The sequence below is a fragment of the Homo sapiens genome, chromosome 8 (assembly GCF_000001405.40).
Source record: "Homo sapiens chromosome 8, GRCh38.p14 Primary Assembly".
Taxonomy (NCBI): domain Eukaryota; kingdom Metazoa; phylum Chordata; class Mammalia; order Primates; family Hominidae; genus Homo; species Homo sapiens.
The window spans coordinates 140,702,431-140,716,852 of record NC_000008.11 but is presented as its reverse complement, the minus strand read 5'-3'; the positions used below and the strand labels follow the sequence as shown (position 1 = coordinate 140,716,852).

General features: G+C 40.5%; 1 protein-coding gene across 176 annotated transcripts in view; it reads left to right on the top strand.

Moving 5' to 3' along the window:
- PTK2 (protein tyrosine kinase 2) overlaps window positions 1-14,422 on the top strand; it is a 344,180-nt gene that overhangs the window by 285,227 nt on the left and 44,531 nt on the right. For all 176 annotated transcript variants that reach the window (NR_148039.2, NR_148038.2, NR_148036.2 and 173 more), the window contains 2 exons: window positions 10,648-10,734; window positions 14,146-14,283. Coding sequence is in view for 169 of the 176 variants with exons in the window: in NM_001352699.2 (NP_001339628.1) it covers window positions 10,648-10,734; window positions 14,146-14,283 (225 nt within the window). In the remaining 7 variants the exon portion in view is untranslated. The remainder of the gene's footprint in view (window positions 1-10,647; window positions 10,735-14,145; window positions 14,284-14,422) is intronic.

Here is a 14,422-nt window from a genome sequence, read left to right as displayed (position 1 = left end):
TGCCATGAATACTCCAGTTCTGTTCTTTTTCTCAAAAGTTAAAAGATAATAGGATTTTTTGTAGTTAGTAGTTATTAACTACCACCATTTGATATTTGACTAGTTAAAAAATATATTAAGAAACTTTGACAATTATTTTCTTTATGAAAAGTGTTCAGAAACCTGATAAGACAAAGTACTATTTAAATATACCAATTTTTTTATCTTGAAGGCTGAAAACTTTTACTTTCTTGGTCATCATTTTGAGCTCTGTAACAGTAAACGTACACTGAAAGTGAAAATAAGTGATTAACACAATTATGCAGAAGTTTAGAGACAGAGGGTGCCTCAGACCAGCCCCCTCTACAGAGAGAAGGACCGAGGCCCAGAGAAGAAACACATACCTGTCTGATGGATGTTACATTGAACGAGGCAGTGAGAACACCTGTCGTTTCTCTGTCATTCCCAGCTTAACAACAACAGGAAATCCTTAGTTACCCACAGAAAAAACTAGCACGTACCCCGCATCCCAGCATCTGAGGCCCTTCATGTTCTGTTTACAAGTTTGCCTATTTTTAAATTTGTTTACTACTGCAGAATAGTCCAGTACTGAGAGTCGGGAGAATCTCATCATTAACTTCTCAGGCCTTGAAGTCAAGTGGATTCATTCACATGGGGGTCTGCTATTTACATTCTGATGACTGAGCAAGTCACCTACCTACTCCAAATCTCACATTCCTTATTTACAAAATGACTATTTGTATTCCCTACCTCTTGGGTGGGGATGTTAAGAAGATAATTCACTGTACAGCACTTTATTTAGTACACAGAAGTGCAAAGTAACATAAGTATTTGGTAATGAGCACCAAAGAATGCAACACTTCCCTAAAACTCACAGGATTAAATCAACTCTTCATCTACACATTTTTCTATATCCCAATCTGTTGGATTTTTAGTGAGTTTAATATGACTAATTTTCCAAATTAGGTTCATGGGCAGTGGTGATGAGGCTTCTTGGCTTCTTTTTTGGTTTCAGAGTACAAAGACTAGATTGGCTTAAATATTTAAATATCCTTACACTTTTTTTTTTAAAAGATATTTTCAAAATATATATTTTGAGATTCTTTTCTATAAGCAGATTGCTGCACTCTACACAAAGGTTTATTTGTTAAGTAAACAGATGAGGAAACTATAGCCCACTGTGTTTTTGTTAGTTTTATTGAAACACAGTTTTATTGGAACACACTCATTTATTTGTATATTATCCACAGCTGCTTTCACCCTACACAGGCATAAATGAGCAGTTGTGGCAGAGACAGTATAGCCTACACAATTTAAAATATTTACTCTTTGACCTTTAAAGAAAAGATTTGGCAACCCCCAGATTAAAAGTTTTAATGGCGGCCGGGCATGGTGGCTCACCCCTGTAATCCCAGCACTTTGGGAGGCCGAGGCGAGCAGATCACCTGAGGTCAGGAATTCGAGACCAGCCTGGCCAACATGGTGAAACCCCGTCTCTACTAATATACAAAAATCAGCCAGCCATGGTGGCCGGCACCTGTAATCCCAGCTACTCAGGAGGCTGAGGCAAGATAATTGCTTGAACTCAGGAGGCAGAGATTGCAGTGAGCCGAGATCACGCCACTGCACTCTAGTTTGGGCGATAAAGTGAGACTCTCTCAAAAAAAAAAAAAAAAAAAAAAAAAAAAAAAAAAAAACGGTTTTAATGGCTAGAAAATCATCTAAAGTAGCATAGATATACAGATGCTTGATGATTATTAACAAATACTAATATGTTAATTGTTGAACTTTCATGCCAATCAGAATCAAGTCCTGTATGCAGTTTTTACCTTCTCAGTGTCCATCGTTAGAATCAAATTCTGCTTCTATGGTCACAGTATTTAGCACGTCTAAAATGAGTCTGTGATTTCCAAGATGGTAGGCCAGTATTTCCTCACTTCCTATACTTTGTGAAGTGAGAATTCAGTAGATTCTGGTGAGTTTTCATAATTCTGCTTGTGATATATTAGAATAAGTAAGTCTTACTTAGATTTTTTTTTTTTTTTTTTTTTTTTTTGAGACAGAGCCTTGCTCTATTGCCCGGGCTGGAGTGCAGTGGCGCAATCTTGGCTCATTGCAACCTCTGCCTCCTGGGTTCAAGCAATTGTCCTGCCTCAGGCCCCTGAGTAACTGGGATTACAGGCACCTGCCACCATGCCTGGCTAATTTTTGTATTTTTAGTACAGACAGGGTTTCACCATGTTGGCCAGGCTGGTCTCAAACTCCTGATCTCAGGTGATCTGCCCGCCTCAGCCTCCCAAAGTGCTGGGGTTTCAGGTGTGAACCACCACGCCCGGCTGTCTTACTTAGATTTTTTTTTTTTATTTCTTCCTTCCTTCCTTTCTTTCTTTTTTTTTTAAATAAAGATGGGGTCTTACTATGTTGCCCAAGCTCTCTTGAGCTGCTGGGCTTAAACAATCCCTTTGCTTCGGCCTCCAGAGCCACTTAGATTTCTGAAATTTAGATAGGATCTCAGGCTTCTGTAGATAAATTTTGTGTTATTAATACTAATATAGAAAAATTTTAATGTAGCTTAATTAGTTTTATAAGTGAAAAGTTTTGTAAGTTTTATAGGTGAAAAGTCTTTCTCTTTCCCAATCAAGATTCAAAATTAAGTTCACTTACAGGCCGGGTGTGGTGACTCACACCTATAATTGCGGTGCTTTGGGAGACTGAGGTAGGGGGATCACTTGAGCCCAGGAATTGGAGACCGGCCTGGGCAACAGGATGAGACTGTCTTTACAGAAAAATTTAAAAATTAGCCAAATTTAGTGGCGTGTGCCTGTGGTCCTAGCTACTCAGTGGACTGAGGCAGGAGGATCGTTTGAGCCCAGGAGGTCTAGGCTGCATGGAGAGTCATGTTTGCACCTTTGCATTCCAGCCTGGGCAACAGAACAAGGCCTTGTCTCAAAAAAATAAATCAATAATGAAATTTTAATTTTTTTTAAAGCTTACTTAGTTAATAGTAAAAGCATTATAACCACAAAGCCAATTATTAAGAATATGTATGGATCACTTCATCATACTTAATACCAATTTTTTCATATAATAATAATATTTAGAGAACTTTCCCTGAGACAAGCCCTGCATGGGAGTGTCCCATTAAATGCTCATTTTCATCTGTGCCTGTTGCTTTCCTGCAGATTCCCATTGGATCAATAGAGTGCCTCAGGATAAAAGTATCCTAGAACAGCCATTCTCAAAGTGTAGTCCTTGGACCTCTGTAGGTCCCCGTGACCATTCCAAAGGTCCGTGACATCAGAACTCATCTGATAATTATGTTAAGATATTATTTGCCTGAGGCAGGTGGATCACTTGAGGCCAGGAGTTCGAGACCAGCCTGGCCAACATGGCAAAACCCCGTTTCAACTAAAAATACAAAAATTAGCTAAGCAAGTTGGTGCCTGCACTTGTAGTCCCAGCTACCCAGGAGGCTGAGGCACAAGAATCACTTGAACCCAGGAGGCACAGGTTGCACTGAGCTGAGATCGCGCCACTGCACTCCAGCCTGGGAGACAGAGCAAGACTCTGTCTCAAAAAACAAAAGGATGTTATTTGCCTTTTCCGCTAATAGAGCTGCTGACACCTTAGCACAAATCAGGGCAGTGGGATGAAATTGTACTAGTCATCACTGTGTTCTTCACCCCTGTGCTCACACAAAAAGAAAAAAATGCTGTTTTACAGAAGAATGGCCTTGATGAAGCAGTGAAAAATATCTGATGTGAAGACATGGGAAGGGCATGTTAGCCCTGCTGCTGCACACCTAGACACGATGTCTTATCTTGAGGAAAGCACTATACAGTTGAGTTGCAAAGCTGGACTAAACACTTTTTTTCATGGAAGACCAGCTTTACTTGAAAGAACAGCTGGCAGACATACTGTTCAGAGTTGCATATTTGGTAGACATTTTCTCAAAAGAGAAAGAGGTGAGGCTGTGACTTTGAAGAAAACAACTGTTTGTTACCGGTATAAAATTCGAGTTTTCAAGCAAAAATTAGAATTTTGAAAAACTTATTACCGTGATCTTGACAGCTTTCTAAATTCTTAGACTGTTATAGTAAGCTCAGGATGGTATTAACATGTGATATTTTAAAAATATATGTTGTTTACTGAAATGTGTTAACATTGGGAGGATCTCTATAGCTCAGTAAATCAGTATCTTCCAAATGACCTACACAGGATGTTAAAAATCACACATGAGTAGAAGTTCCATTGAAAGTACAAGATAAATAGTGGATTTTTTTCTCCTTTTTTCCCCCCTTAATTCTATGGATTTTAATGTAACAGATGATACCATTGTAAATTCCACATTGCAACTCACCTTTAAGAAGCTACCACTTGCATTTTGGTGTCAAATCAAAAAACAATACCACAGTTGTGCCCAGAATCTACCAAAATACTCCTCCCTTTTCCAGTTGTACAGCTGTATGAGTTTACTTTTTTTCCCCTCATATATTGCAACAAAACAGAACATCGTAAGACTGCAGAAACAGATATGAGAACCTGCTGCCTTCTGTTAAGCCTAACATTAAAGCAGATTTACATCAGTGTAGATGTACATGTGTCCTTCTTCTCAGTTTGGTTTGTTTGGTTTTGAAAAAGTAGGTTTTTTTTTTTTAGTATGTGATGAGCTTATTCTTAAGTGAATTAATAAATACTTTTTAGTATCTGTTTTAATTTCTAACAGTATGAGTGTTGGTAGTTACATTCCAAATAAACAAAAACTCTTAGAGTCCTCAGTAATTTTTAAGACTGTAAAGGGGTCCTGAAAATGATTAAATGTTTGAGAATAACTGCCTCAGAACATTGTTCTTCAACCCTAATCAAACCCAGCACGGCATTTATATAAAAAATGATTTTATAATGTCCCATTTGCTAATCCTGAAATAAAATACATAGGTAATAGAATGACTTAGCAATTTCAAAATATCAATGGAGGAATACTAGTGTTTGGAGACCTAACTATACAGGAGAAATAAAAGGAAAGTCATTTTTTATAACATTATGCATGCATGTATAAAGCACTCAGATCTGATGACATTGGGAGACACGGTGGCATAGCCAGATCCTTACACCTGTTTGTGGACTCACCATGAATACAGCAGTGACAAAGCAGACCCCCACAGCTATAACTGATAGGAATTTCATTGGTCTTGGTGATGTCATTTTCTAGAATGGTAAGAAAATCTTGGTAAAGTTTAAATGAAACAAAATAAAATTGCCCATCAGTATACACAGTAGTTGCTGTTCTGGAAAGTTCAGTGCCTCATAAACTATACAAAATATCTATACAAACTATACAAAATATATAAAGCAGAATTCATTCTGTGTTCAAGTGACAGGGATTTTATTGTTGCTGTTGTTTTACTTACATAAAATTGAGAGAAACAGCAGAAAGTCCTGCGGGGGCCGGGCATGGTGGCTCACGCCTGTAACCCCAGCACTTTGGGCAGCCAAGATGAGCTGATCACTTGAGGCCAGTAGTTCGAGACCAGCCTGGGCAACATGGCGAAACCCTGTCTGTACTAAAAATACAAAAATTAGCCAGGTGTGGTGGTATGCACCTATAATCCCAGCTATTTGGGAGGCTGAGGCACGAGAATCGCTTAAACTCAGGAGGCAGAGGTTGCAGCGAGCCGAGATCACGCCACTGCACTCTAGCCTGGGCGACAGAACAAGACTCCATCTCAAAAAATAAAAATATAAAAATTAGCTGGGTGTGATTGCACATGCCTGTAATCCCAGCTACTTGGGAGTCTGAGGCATGAGAATCACTCAAACTCGGGAGGCAGAGGTTGCAGTGAGCCGAGATCGTGCCACTGCACTCCAGCCTAGGCGACAGAGCGTGACTGTCTCAAAACAAAAGAAAGAAGTCCCGCGGGATATGAAACAAATCCTGCTGTTCAGGCCTGTCCTTCTCATTGCCAGAAATCTCACATGCTGACCTCTACCTTAATGCCAATTGTGTGATCATGGAAAGCACCCTCACTAATACAGTTCTGCCTTGATATCTGCAAGGGATGGAGATTCAAATCCACAGATGCATAAATTCCTTATATAAAATAGCACAGAATTGCATATAACCTACATACCTCTTCCAGTATACTTATTTTTGTTGTTGTTGTTGGCTTGTTCTGTTTTTTGAGACAGAGTCTCACTCTGTTGCCCAGGCTGCAGTGCCATGGTGCGATCTCGGCTCACCGCAACCTCTACCTCCCGGGTTCAAGCTATTCTCACTCCTCAGCCTCCCAAGTAGCTGGGATTACAGGAGTGTGCCACCACGCCTGGCTAATTTTTTTGTATTTTTAGTAAAGACAGGGTTTCACCATGTTGACCAGGCTGGTCTCAAACTCCTGACCTCAGGTGATCTGCCCACCACGGCCTCCCAAAGTCTTGAACCATCACGCCCGGCCCATCTTCCCATCTTTCAGTATACTTTAAATTATTTTAAATATAGATACAGATTTTTTTTTTTTTTTTTTTTGAGACAAGGTCTCGCTCTGTTGCCCAGGCTGGAGTGCAGTGATATGATCTCAGGTCACTGCAACCTCCACTTCCTGGGCTTAAGTGATTCTCCAGCCTCTGCCTCCTGAGTAGCTGGGACTATAGGTGCAAGCCACCATTGCCCAGCTGATTTTCATATTTTTTGAAATATGAAAATCTTCTCATATTTTTTTCACCGTGTTGCCTAGGCTGGTCTCAAACTCCTGAGCTCAAAGCAATCTGCCTGCCTCAGCCTTCCAAAGTGCTGAGATTACAGACATGAGCCACTGCACCCGGCTTACATAGTTATTATACTTATCTTTTTGTTTGTATTATTTTTTATTGTTGTTTTTTGTTTTTTTCCTGTATGTTTTCAATCTGCAATTGGTTGAATCTATGGATGCTGGGCCTTTGGATATGGAGGGCTGACTGTACCCTAAATGCTTCTGAAGGAACAGTGCCATCCAGTTGAGGACCTCTGGTTTAGAATACCAGTGTCTTCCTTTCTCTCCTTCCTCATTAGGGAGAATTTCAGCAAAACTTCCCTGTTCCATATTTTGCTTCATTAAAATCCAAGTTTCTGTCTTGGAGGAGGAAGTGTCATGACCTTGCTAACTCATCGTACTTACCAGCAGTTGACACTTTTGGACTCATATGAAAGCCATTTTCAAAGATCTTGACATATATTAACATATTTAATCTTCACGGCAGCTCCAGGAGGTAGCTGCTGGTTATTGTACTCCTTTTATCATTGACAATAGGGAGACACAGAGAGCTGAAGCACCCTAACTGTGAACACTGACAGTCTGGCTCAAAGCCTGCCCTCTTGACCACCATGCTAACCTCTGATTTGTAGAGAACAGAAGTAGAGCTATTTTACCAATACATTTGCACTCTCCATGGCTGTTGGTTAGCAACATTTGATTTTGTGTTGTCCTTTGTGCAAATATTTTGTCTATCATAAAACATATTTTCAACTTTTTACCTTTTATTTTTATTTTGAAATGGAACCTTGTGTTATCATTTGCTACCCAGTTAAGTCTTTGCATCACTGTGAGATATTTTACATTGGTTTTGCCATTCTCTGATCTATTTGTTTTGTATGTTCCTTTTTATTTGGTGAGTCAGAAGTATGCTTGTCATAGAATAGCATCATGGCACAGTAGATTTTGGAGTCATGCAGTTCCACCATTACCACCTATATGCCCCTATTTAAATTGCCCAATTTATTTGAGACTGTAAAATAGGGGTTATAATATTGCTTCATAGCAATGTGGTGATCAAAATTATCAAATTGTATGTAAAGTAGGTAGTTCAGTACACACAGAATACACAGTAAATTGTAACTTTTTTTTTTTTTTTGCCTGAATTTATCAAGAGTACATCACTGTGCAACTGTCAGCTCTGTTTATTGTTCTGGTCCCTGGCTCTGCCTCCTTCCATTCTTGGACTCCAAGAGCATTTGATTCAGAAAACCCTTTCCCCTGCAACCATCATTAATGCGTATATATTAACACATATCTTTAAAACAAGTACCAAGGTAGCCGAACTCTTTTTTTTAACCTCTTTTAATTCAGCACAACCACTTTGTAGAACACACTTTGGAAATTGCCACCCTAGCACACACAGTAGAGAAAAGCCTAGAATGCTCTCTTTATACCCTTTTCCTGTTTGGGGTGTTTTTGGGGGAATTCATGTTGTTATTTAGTTAAGTTTAGAGTAGACTCTTTCTGGAACACTGTTTGAAACGTGACAGGGTTAAGCCAAAAGGAAGGATTTTTCACCCTCAGGAATTTAACAGCTCATAATAGCAGGGCTAGAGCAAGTGCAAAAGTACCTGCAACCGAAGGTAGGGTGTGAAAAAGGCCTCCTTAGGAGAGCAGAGGACATATGTTTATGTTAGGCTGGCAAAATCACGAGCTGTTGCGTGAAAGAAGTAACATCTAAAAGACTGAAAGGATCAGAAGTATACTACAGATGGAAGGAGGAGACATTCCAGGCAGAGGGGACAGTATAAGCAAAACTGAGGGGGAAATGAGACAGATTTTAGAGACCAAAACATACTCCGGACCTAACTAGAGCAAAGCACGTGTTCACCCAGCACTGTGGGAGAGAGAGACAGACACTAAGGCGTTTTCTTTCCTAAGCTTGTTGGAACTTAAATCTATTTCCTTTTATTCTGTACTTAATTTGGCTAGACAGTAATGGGTTTCCACCTTGTTAAACCCCCCAAGTTTTAAAAGACTTTATTGACTTCTTTCAGACTTCTGTTTCAGACTAAATTGTTCTTTCACTATGAACTTTGAATTCATTTATCCCACAAACAAAATGAGAATTTAAGACCTGGAAGTGACTTTAGAGATCCTGTAGCTCACCCCCATCTTATGGGTGAGGAACTAGAAGCCAGTCAGTTTCGTCACTTGATCACAGTCACGCAACCGGGAAGTAGTCAAACAATAGAACACAAGTGCCTTCTCTCCAGGTCCCAGACTACTGGACAGAGAGCATTTGGGTCCCTCAGGCTCAGAATATTCAGTATCCCATTTTGTTATTAATGATACTTTAATAGCTTTATTAAGATACAATTTACATACCATACAATTTATCCATTGAAAGTGTGCAGTTCGGCTGGGCACAGTGGTTCACTCCTGTAGTCCCAGCACTGTGGGAGGCTGAGGCAGGCAGATCACTTAAGACCAGGAGTTCAAGACCAGCCTGGCCAACATGGCAAAACCCCATCTCTACTGTAAATACAAAAATTAGCCTGGTGAGGTGCCGCTGCCTGTAATCCCAGCTACTTGAGAGGCTGAGGCACGAGAATCACTCAAACCCGGGAGGCAGTGGTTGCAGTGAGCCGGGATTATACCTTGCACTCCAGCCTATACGGCAGTCTCAACTCAAATAAATAAATTGTACAATTCGATGTTTTTTTAGTATATTCAGAGTTGTGCAACCATCGCCACAACCAGTTTTAGGACTTTTGTTTTGTTTTTAGTAGAGACGGGGTCTCACCGTGTGATCCACCTCGGCCTCCCAAAGTGCTGGGATTATAGGCGTGAGCCATAGCGCCCAGCCTATAACATTTTTATCACCCCCAAAATGAAATCCTTCACCCATTAGCAGTCATTCCCCATCTCCTCCTCCTTCCAACCCCTGGCAACCACTTATGTACTTGCTATCTATATTAATCTTTCCTATTCTAGATATTTCATTAAAGAAATCATATGTTCTTTGTGACTGGCTTTTTTCACTTAGAATGTTTCAAAAATTCATCCATGTTGTAGCATGTGTCAGTATTTTATTCCCTTTAATTACAAATAATGTCCCTTTCGTAGGTATACAGCATTTTGTTTATCCAGTTATATCAGTTGACGGACATGGACTGTTCCCCCTTTTTATCTATTGTGAATAATGCTGTTAAGAACATTCATGTACATGTTTGTGTTTACTTAATTTGTTTTTTTCAAAGGTACAGTCTTGCTACGTTGCCCAGGCTGGCCTCTAATTCCTCGGCTCAAGCAACTCTCTCACTTTAGCCTCCTGAGTAGCTGATCTACATGTTTTTGTGTGGATATATATTTTCATGTCTCTGGACTTTACATATACCTGAAAGTAGAATTGCTGGATCATATACTAATTCTTTATTTAATTTTTAAGGAATAGCCATACTGTCTTCCATAGTGACTACACCATTTTACATTCCCAACAGACTGGCCTGATTGGTTTTCAACTCCTGGCCTCAAAGGATCCGCCCACCCCAGCCTCCCAAAGTGCTGGGATTACAGGCATGAGCTACCATGCCCTGCCCAAGATATACTCTTAAGTTTTCTTCTAAGAATCTTAGTTTTTAACTTTTACATTTAGACCTGTACCTGTAATTCATTTTGAGTTAATTTTTGTGCATGTGGGAGGAAGAGGTCAGACTTCAGTTTTTCACATGTAGCTATCCAGTTGCCACAGCATCATTTGTTGAAAAGACTGTTCTTTCCCTATTGAAATGTCTTAGCATCTTTTTATCATTCTTTTCAAGTAAGCTCTATTAGGAAAATGTCTTTTTCGATTCATAAAGTACAGGTTTGTCAAAATCAAAAGGTTCATTCATATGATGCTCTCTTGATTTTACAGCCCAGCAGACCGGGTTATCCCAGTCCGAGGTCCAGCGAAGGATTTTATCCCAGCCCACAGCACATGGTACAAACCAATCATTACCAGGTATGCCAGTCATTACAGATATAAACTGTGTTATTTTATTATTTAGCGCTTTTGGGGTAGAGCGGTACATTGTGCATATTTTTATTTATGTACTTATGAGTATGATTTGGCCGATAGAAAGCTGAGAAAGTGGTTACCCTAATCATTGAATGATGTTGTCTTGACACCCCACGCAGAAGGCGTTTGTTTTTCACTCCATCTTCGAGTGGGCAGGACCAGGGCCTGCTGCCATTCTTAGGCACGTTTTCATCCACTTGCTGTGGTAAAGGGCAAGGTGAAGCCAGTGGGCACACACACTGCAGAGGGAGTACTGAACTGGACAGTTTTTATGGAAGGCAAGAACAAAATTCAAAATTAACAGAACCCAGATGAAATACCATATGGACAAGTGTGAAAAGTGTTAGATTTATAGATAGATATCCTGTGCAAATTAGAAAAAATTATCCTTCAAAGAAAAGGACTTGACACAAAGTAAACAATTCATTTGTTTTTGAGAAAAAGTTATTAACTTTTACTGGGGTATACCTTACAATGCACAGGTCTTTGTTCCGAGAGGTGCATACCCCAGTGCATCCCATCCTCACTTCAGGATATAGAGCGTGTCTGTGACCCCGGCAGTTCCTTTGTGCCCCTTCCCATCAGGCACCTCCTGCCCCAGGAGCAACCATTCTTCTCACTTCTAGTATCAGAGGTTTCTGCCTGTTCTAGAATTTTATATAAATAGATCATATAGAGTGTGCTTTTTAGGGCTTATCTTTTTTTACTCGTAATGTCTGTAGAAGTCAGAGTCCTATTGAAGGTGTCAGTACTTAACCTTTCCTACTTCCTTCACAGAGTTGTTGAAAGCGTGGTTTAAATTAAGGCCTCTTGGGTCAAAATGGGCAAAAAATCTTAACTATTGGTACTTAACTGTCAGTAATAAGGGAGAATGTAAGCACTTTCTTATTGGAAAAGATATGTCAGTGGTAGTTTAGAACAGCAAATTTTAGCCTCTTTATCTAGCCGCCAGATTCTAATGTCTAATTCTGGAGCCCAAGAATAGCTTATTGTTAACAAGCAGCCTCAGTAGGTTCTGAGGCAGATGACTCAGACCTGTGTTTTGGGAGACACTGTTCTGAGATGGCCACTTGCCTGGCAGAGTCAAGAGTGAATCATTTGAGTTTTCGAGGGCACCTGTCTGTTCATTCAGCAAGGTTGCACTGAATGTTCATCTACTCTGCCTGGTACTATTCTAGGGACTGGGAATATGAAGACAAATAAAGTACTCTTTTTTCTCATGGAAGGAGCTCACAGGGCCCTTTGTCAGTTTGGATTACTACCATTTCCATAAGTGAAGAAGCCAAAACCCTGACCCAGCACAAGGGTCAGAGCAATGGGAAGTACGTAGGTGGCCTAAAGAAAGAAACCCCACCTCTATGATTGCTGAGAGACCCTGACCTCTGGCAGACAAGCAGATGGGCCCCAGGGGAACAGCCCGAGTCTGTGCCTGGCTGGTATGGAAAGTGAACTGGCCCTGAGTGGGAATTGAATACCAGCATTGTTTTGAGAAAACATGCAGCACCTGCTTAATGAGACAAGCTGTTAGCAGAGAGACAGTTCTCTTTGTGTCCCAGCAGGCCTGGTCTGCGGCACTGTCAAGATTTGAAACTCTAGTACGTGTTTGTTAGTGGCTGTCTGTCACCAGTGCAGTGGAAGCCCCTGAGAGTGGGGACTTGTCTCTAAGGGCTTAGAACGGTGTGTAAAAATGAGTAAATAGAGAATTAAGTAAAACATTGATTTTTTTCATTGAACTAATGTATGATTAACCTTTCCCAAGCCCAAATTCTCCTCTCTTGTAAATGAGACCAACTATGAGACATTTCCTGATGTTACTTCATTTTTAGCCTAAAGTGATCCTTCTACATGGTTACTATTATGTAGAAAACTGCCTTAGACCATTTTAAACCTCCTTGTTGTGAAAATTCCTAAATGTTTTCTGGCAATAATACATCCCTTTTCACCAGAAATCTTGATAGAGCATTTTGCATTTAGTAGCAGTTTTTATTATTATTTTCATTCAAATAAACTGTGAGAACTAACTATATGTCTTACTTGAAGATTCATTAATTTCATATTGTCCATATGAAATTTTGGTATAAATTAATGCCTAGAGACCTAATAAATGCACAAAACCTTTGTTGAAGGATGTGTTGATATTTGGAAATACGGTTTTGGCTGTGCTTTATCTCACTAAAAAATTAACTGACAACACCCACCATACAACACTAGCCTAATGAGGTGTGGAAACCAATACTGATTCTGTTCTCTTTCTCTTGATTGAGAGAAGGAACCATGTAAAGAAACCCATCTTATTTTCCCTCTGCCTTGAAATTTTTCTCTATGTCCAACTGAATGTCTTCTCTCTGCCTTAGTCATCATTGTTAGAACTTAAAGGTACGACTTACCCTACCATCAGCTCCCAGGTCATTAGAGGACAAACATTTGGGGGATTTTTTGTGTATTTTTGTTGTTGTTGTTATTCTTGTTGGGGGATAGTGGTTGTTGGGCAGGAAAGGGGATTTCTAGAGCAAAGTATGGCACAGACATTTTTGTGGCTTCCTGTTGCTTTTGCATCCAAGGATGGCCTGCCCTCATTATTTTAGTAAATGTGAAATTCCAAAGAAACAGTTTCTTGTTTTCTAGTATATATTTGCACTAGCTCTCTAATGCAGCCATAACAAATGTCCTTTCTTGAGATTTTAGCTGAGAGTCCATTTCCTTGCCTTATCAGCTTCTACAGGGCACCTACATGCCTTGGCTCATGGTCCCCTTACTCCATGTTCTGAAACCAGAAGTTTTTATTTTCTTTTTTTTTTTGAGACGGAGTCTCTCTCTGTCACCCAGGCTGGAGTGCAATGGCCCGATCTCGGCTCACTGCAAGCTCCGCCTCCCGGGTTCATTCTCCTGCCTTAGCCTCCCAATTAGCTGGGACTACAGGCTACTCCTGACCTTGTGATCCGCCTGCCTCGGCCTCCCAAAGTGCTAGGATTACAGGCTAGAGCCACCGTGCCTGGCCCAGAGCCAGCAGTACTAACTCTCTCTGACCCTTCTTCAGTGGTCCCATTGTCCCTCCCTCCTCTTATGCTTCCCTCTTGCACTTTTAAGGACCCTTGTAATTACACTGGACTCACTCAGATATCCCAGATACCCTCCCATCCCAAGGTCCTTGACTTATAACCACATCTGCAAAGTCTCTTTTGCCACGTAAGGAAACATATTCACATGTTCAAGGGATTAGAACATGGGTATCTTTGGGGGGCCATAATTCTGCCTACCACAATATTCTCTGTAATTTTAGTTTCCTTTGTGTGTGAAGCAGAACTGTGCAGATGTTATAGTTGAACATTACCTTGCCTCCTTACTCATTCACAGGTTTCTGGCTACCCTGGTTCACATGGAATCACAGCCATGGCTGGCAGCATCTATCCAGGTCAGGCATCTCTTTTGGACCAAACAGATTCATGGAATCATAGACCTCAGGAGATAGCAATGTGGCAGCCCAATGTGGAGGTAAATCGGGTGTCTTGGGCTTCAGTTTGTTAACTTATAAAGCATGGCAAAGCTGGGCATGGTGGCTTACACTTGTAATCCTAGCACTTTTGGGAGGCTGAAGTAGGAGGATTGCTTGAGCCCCAGAGTTTGAAACCAG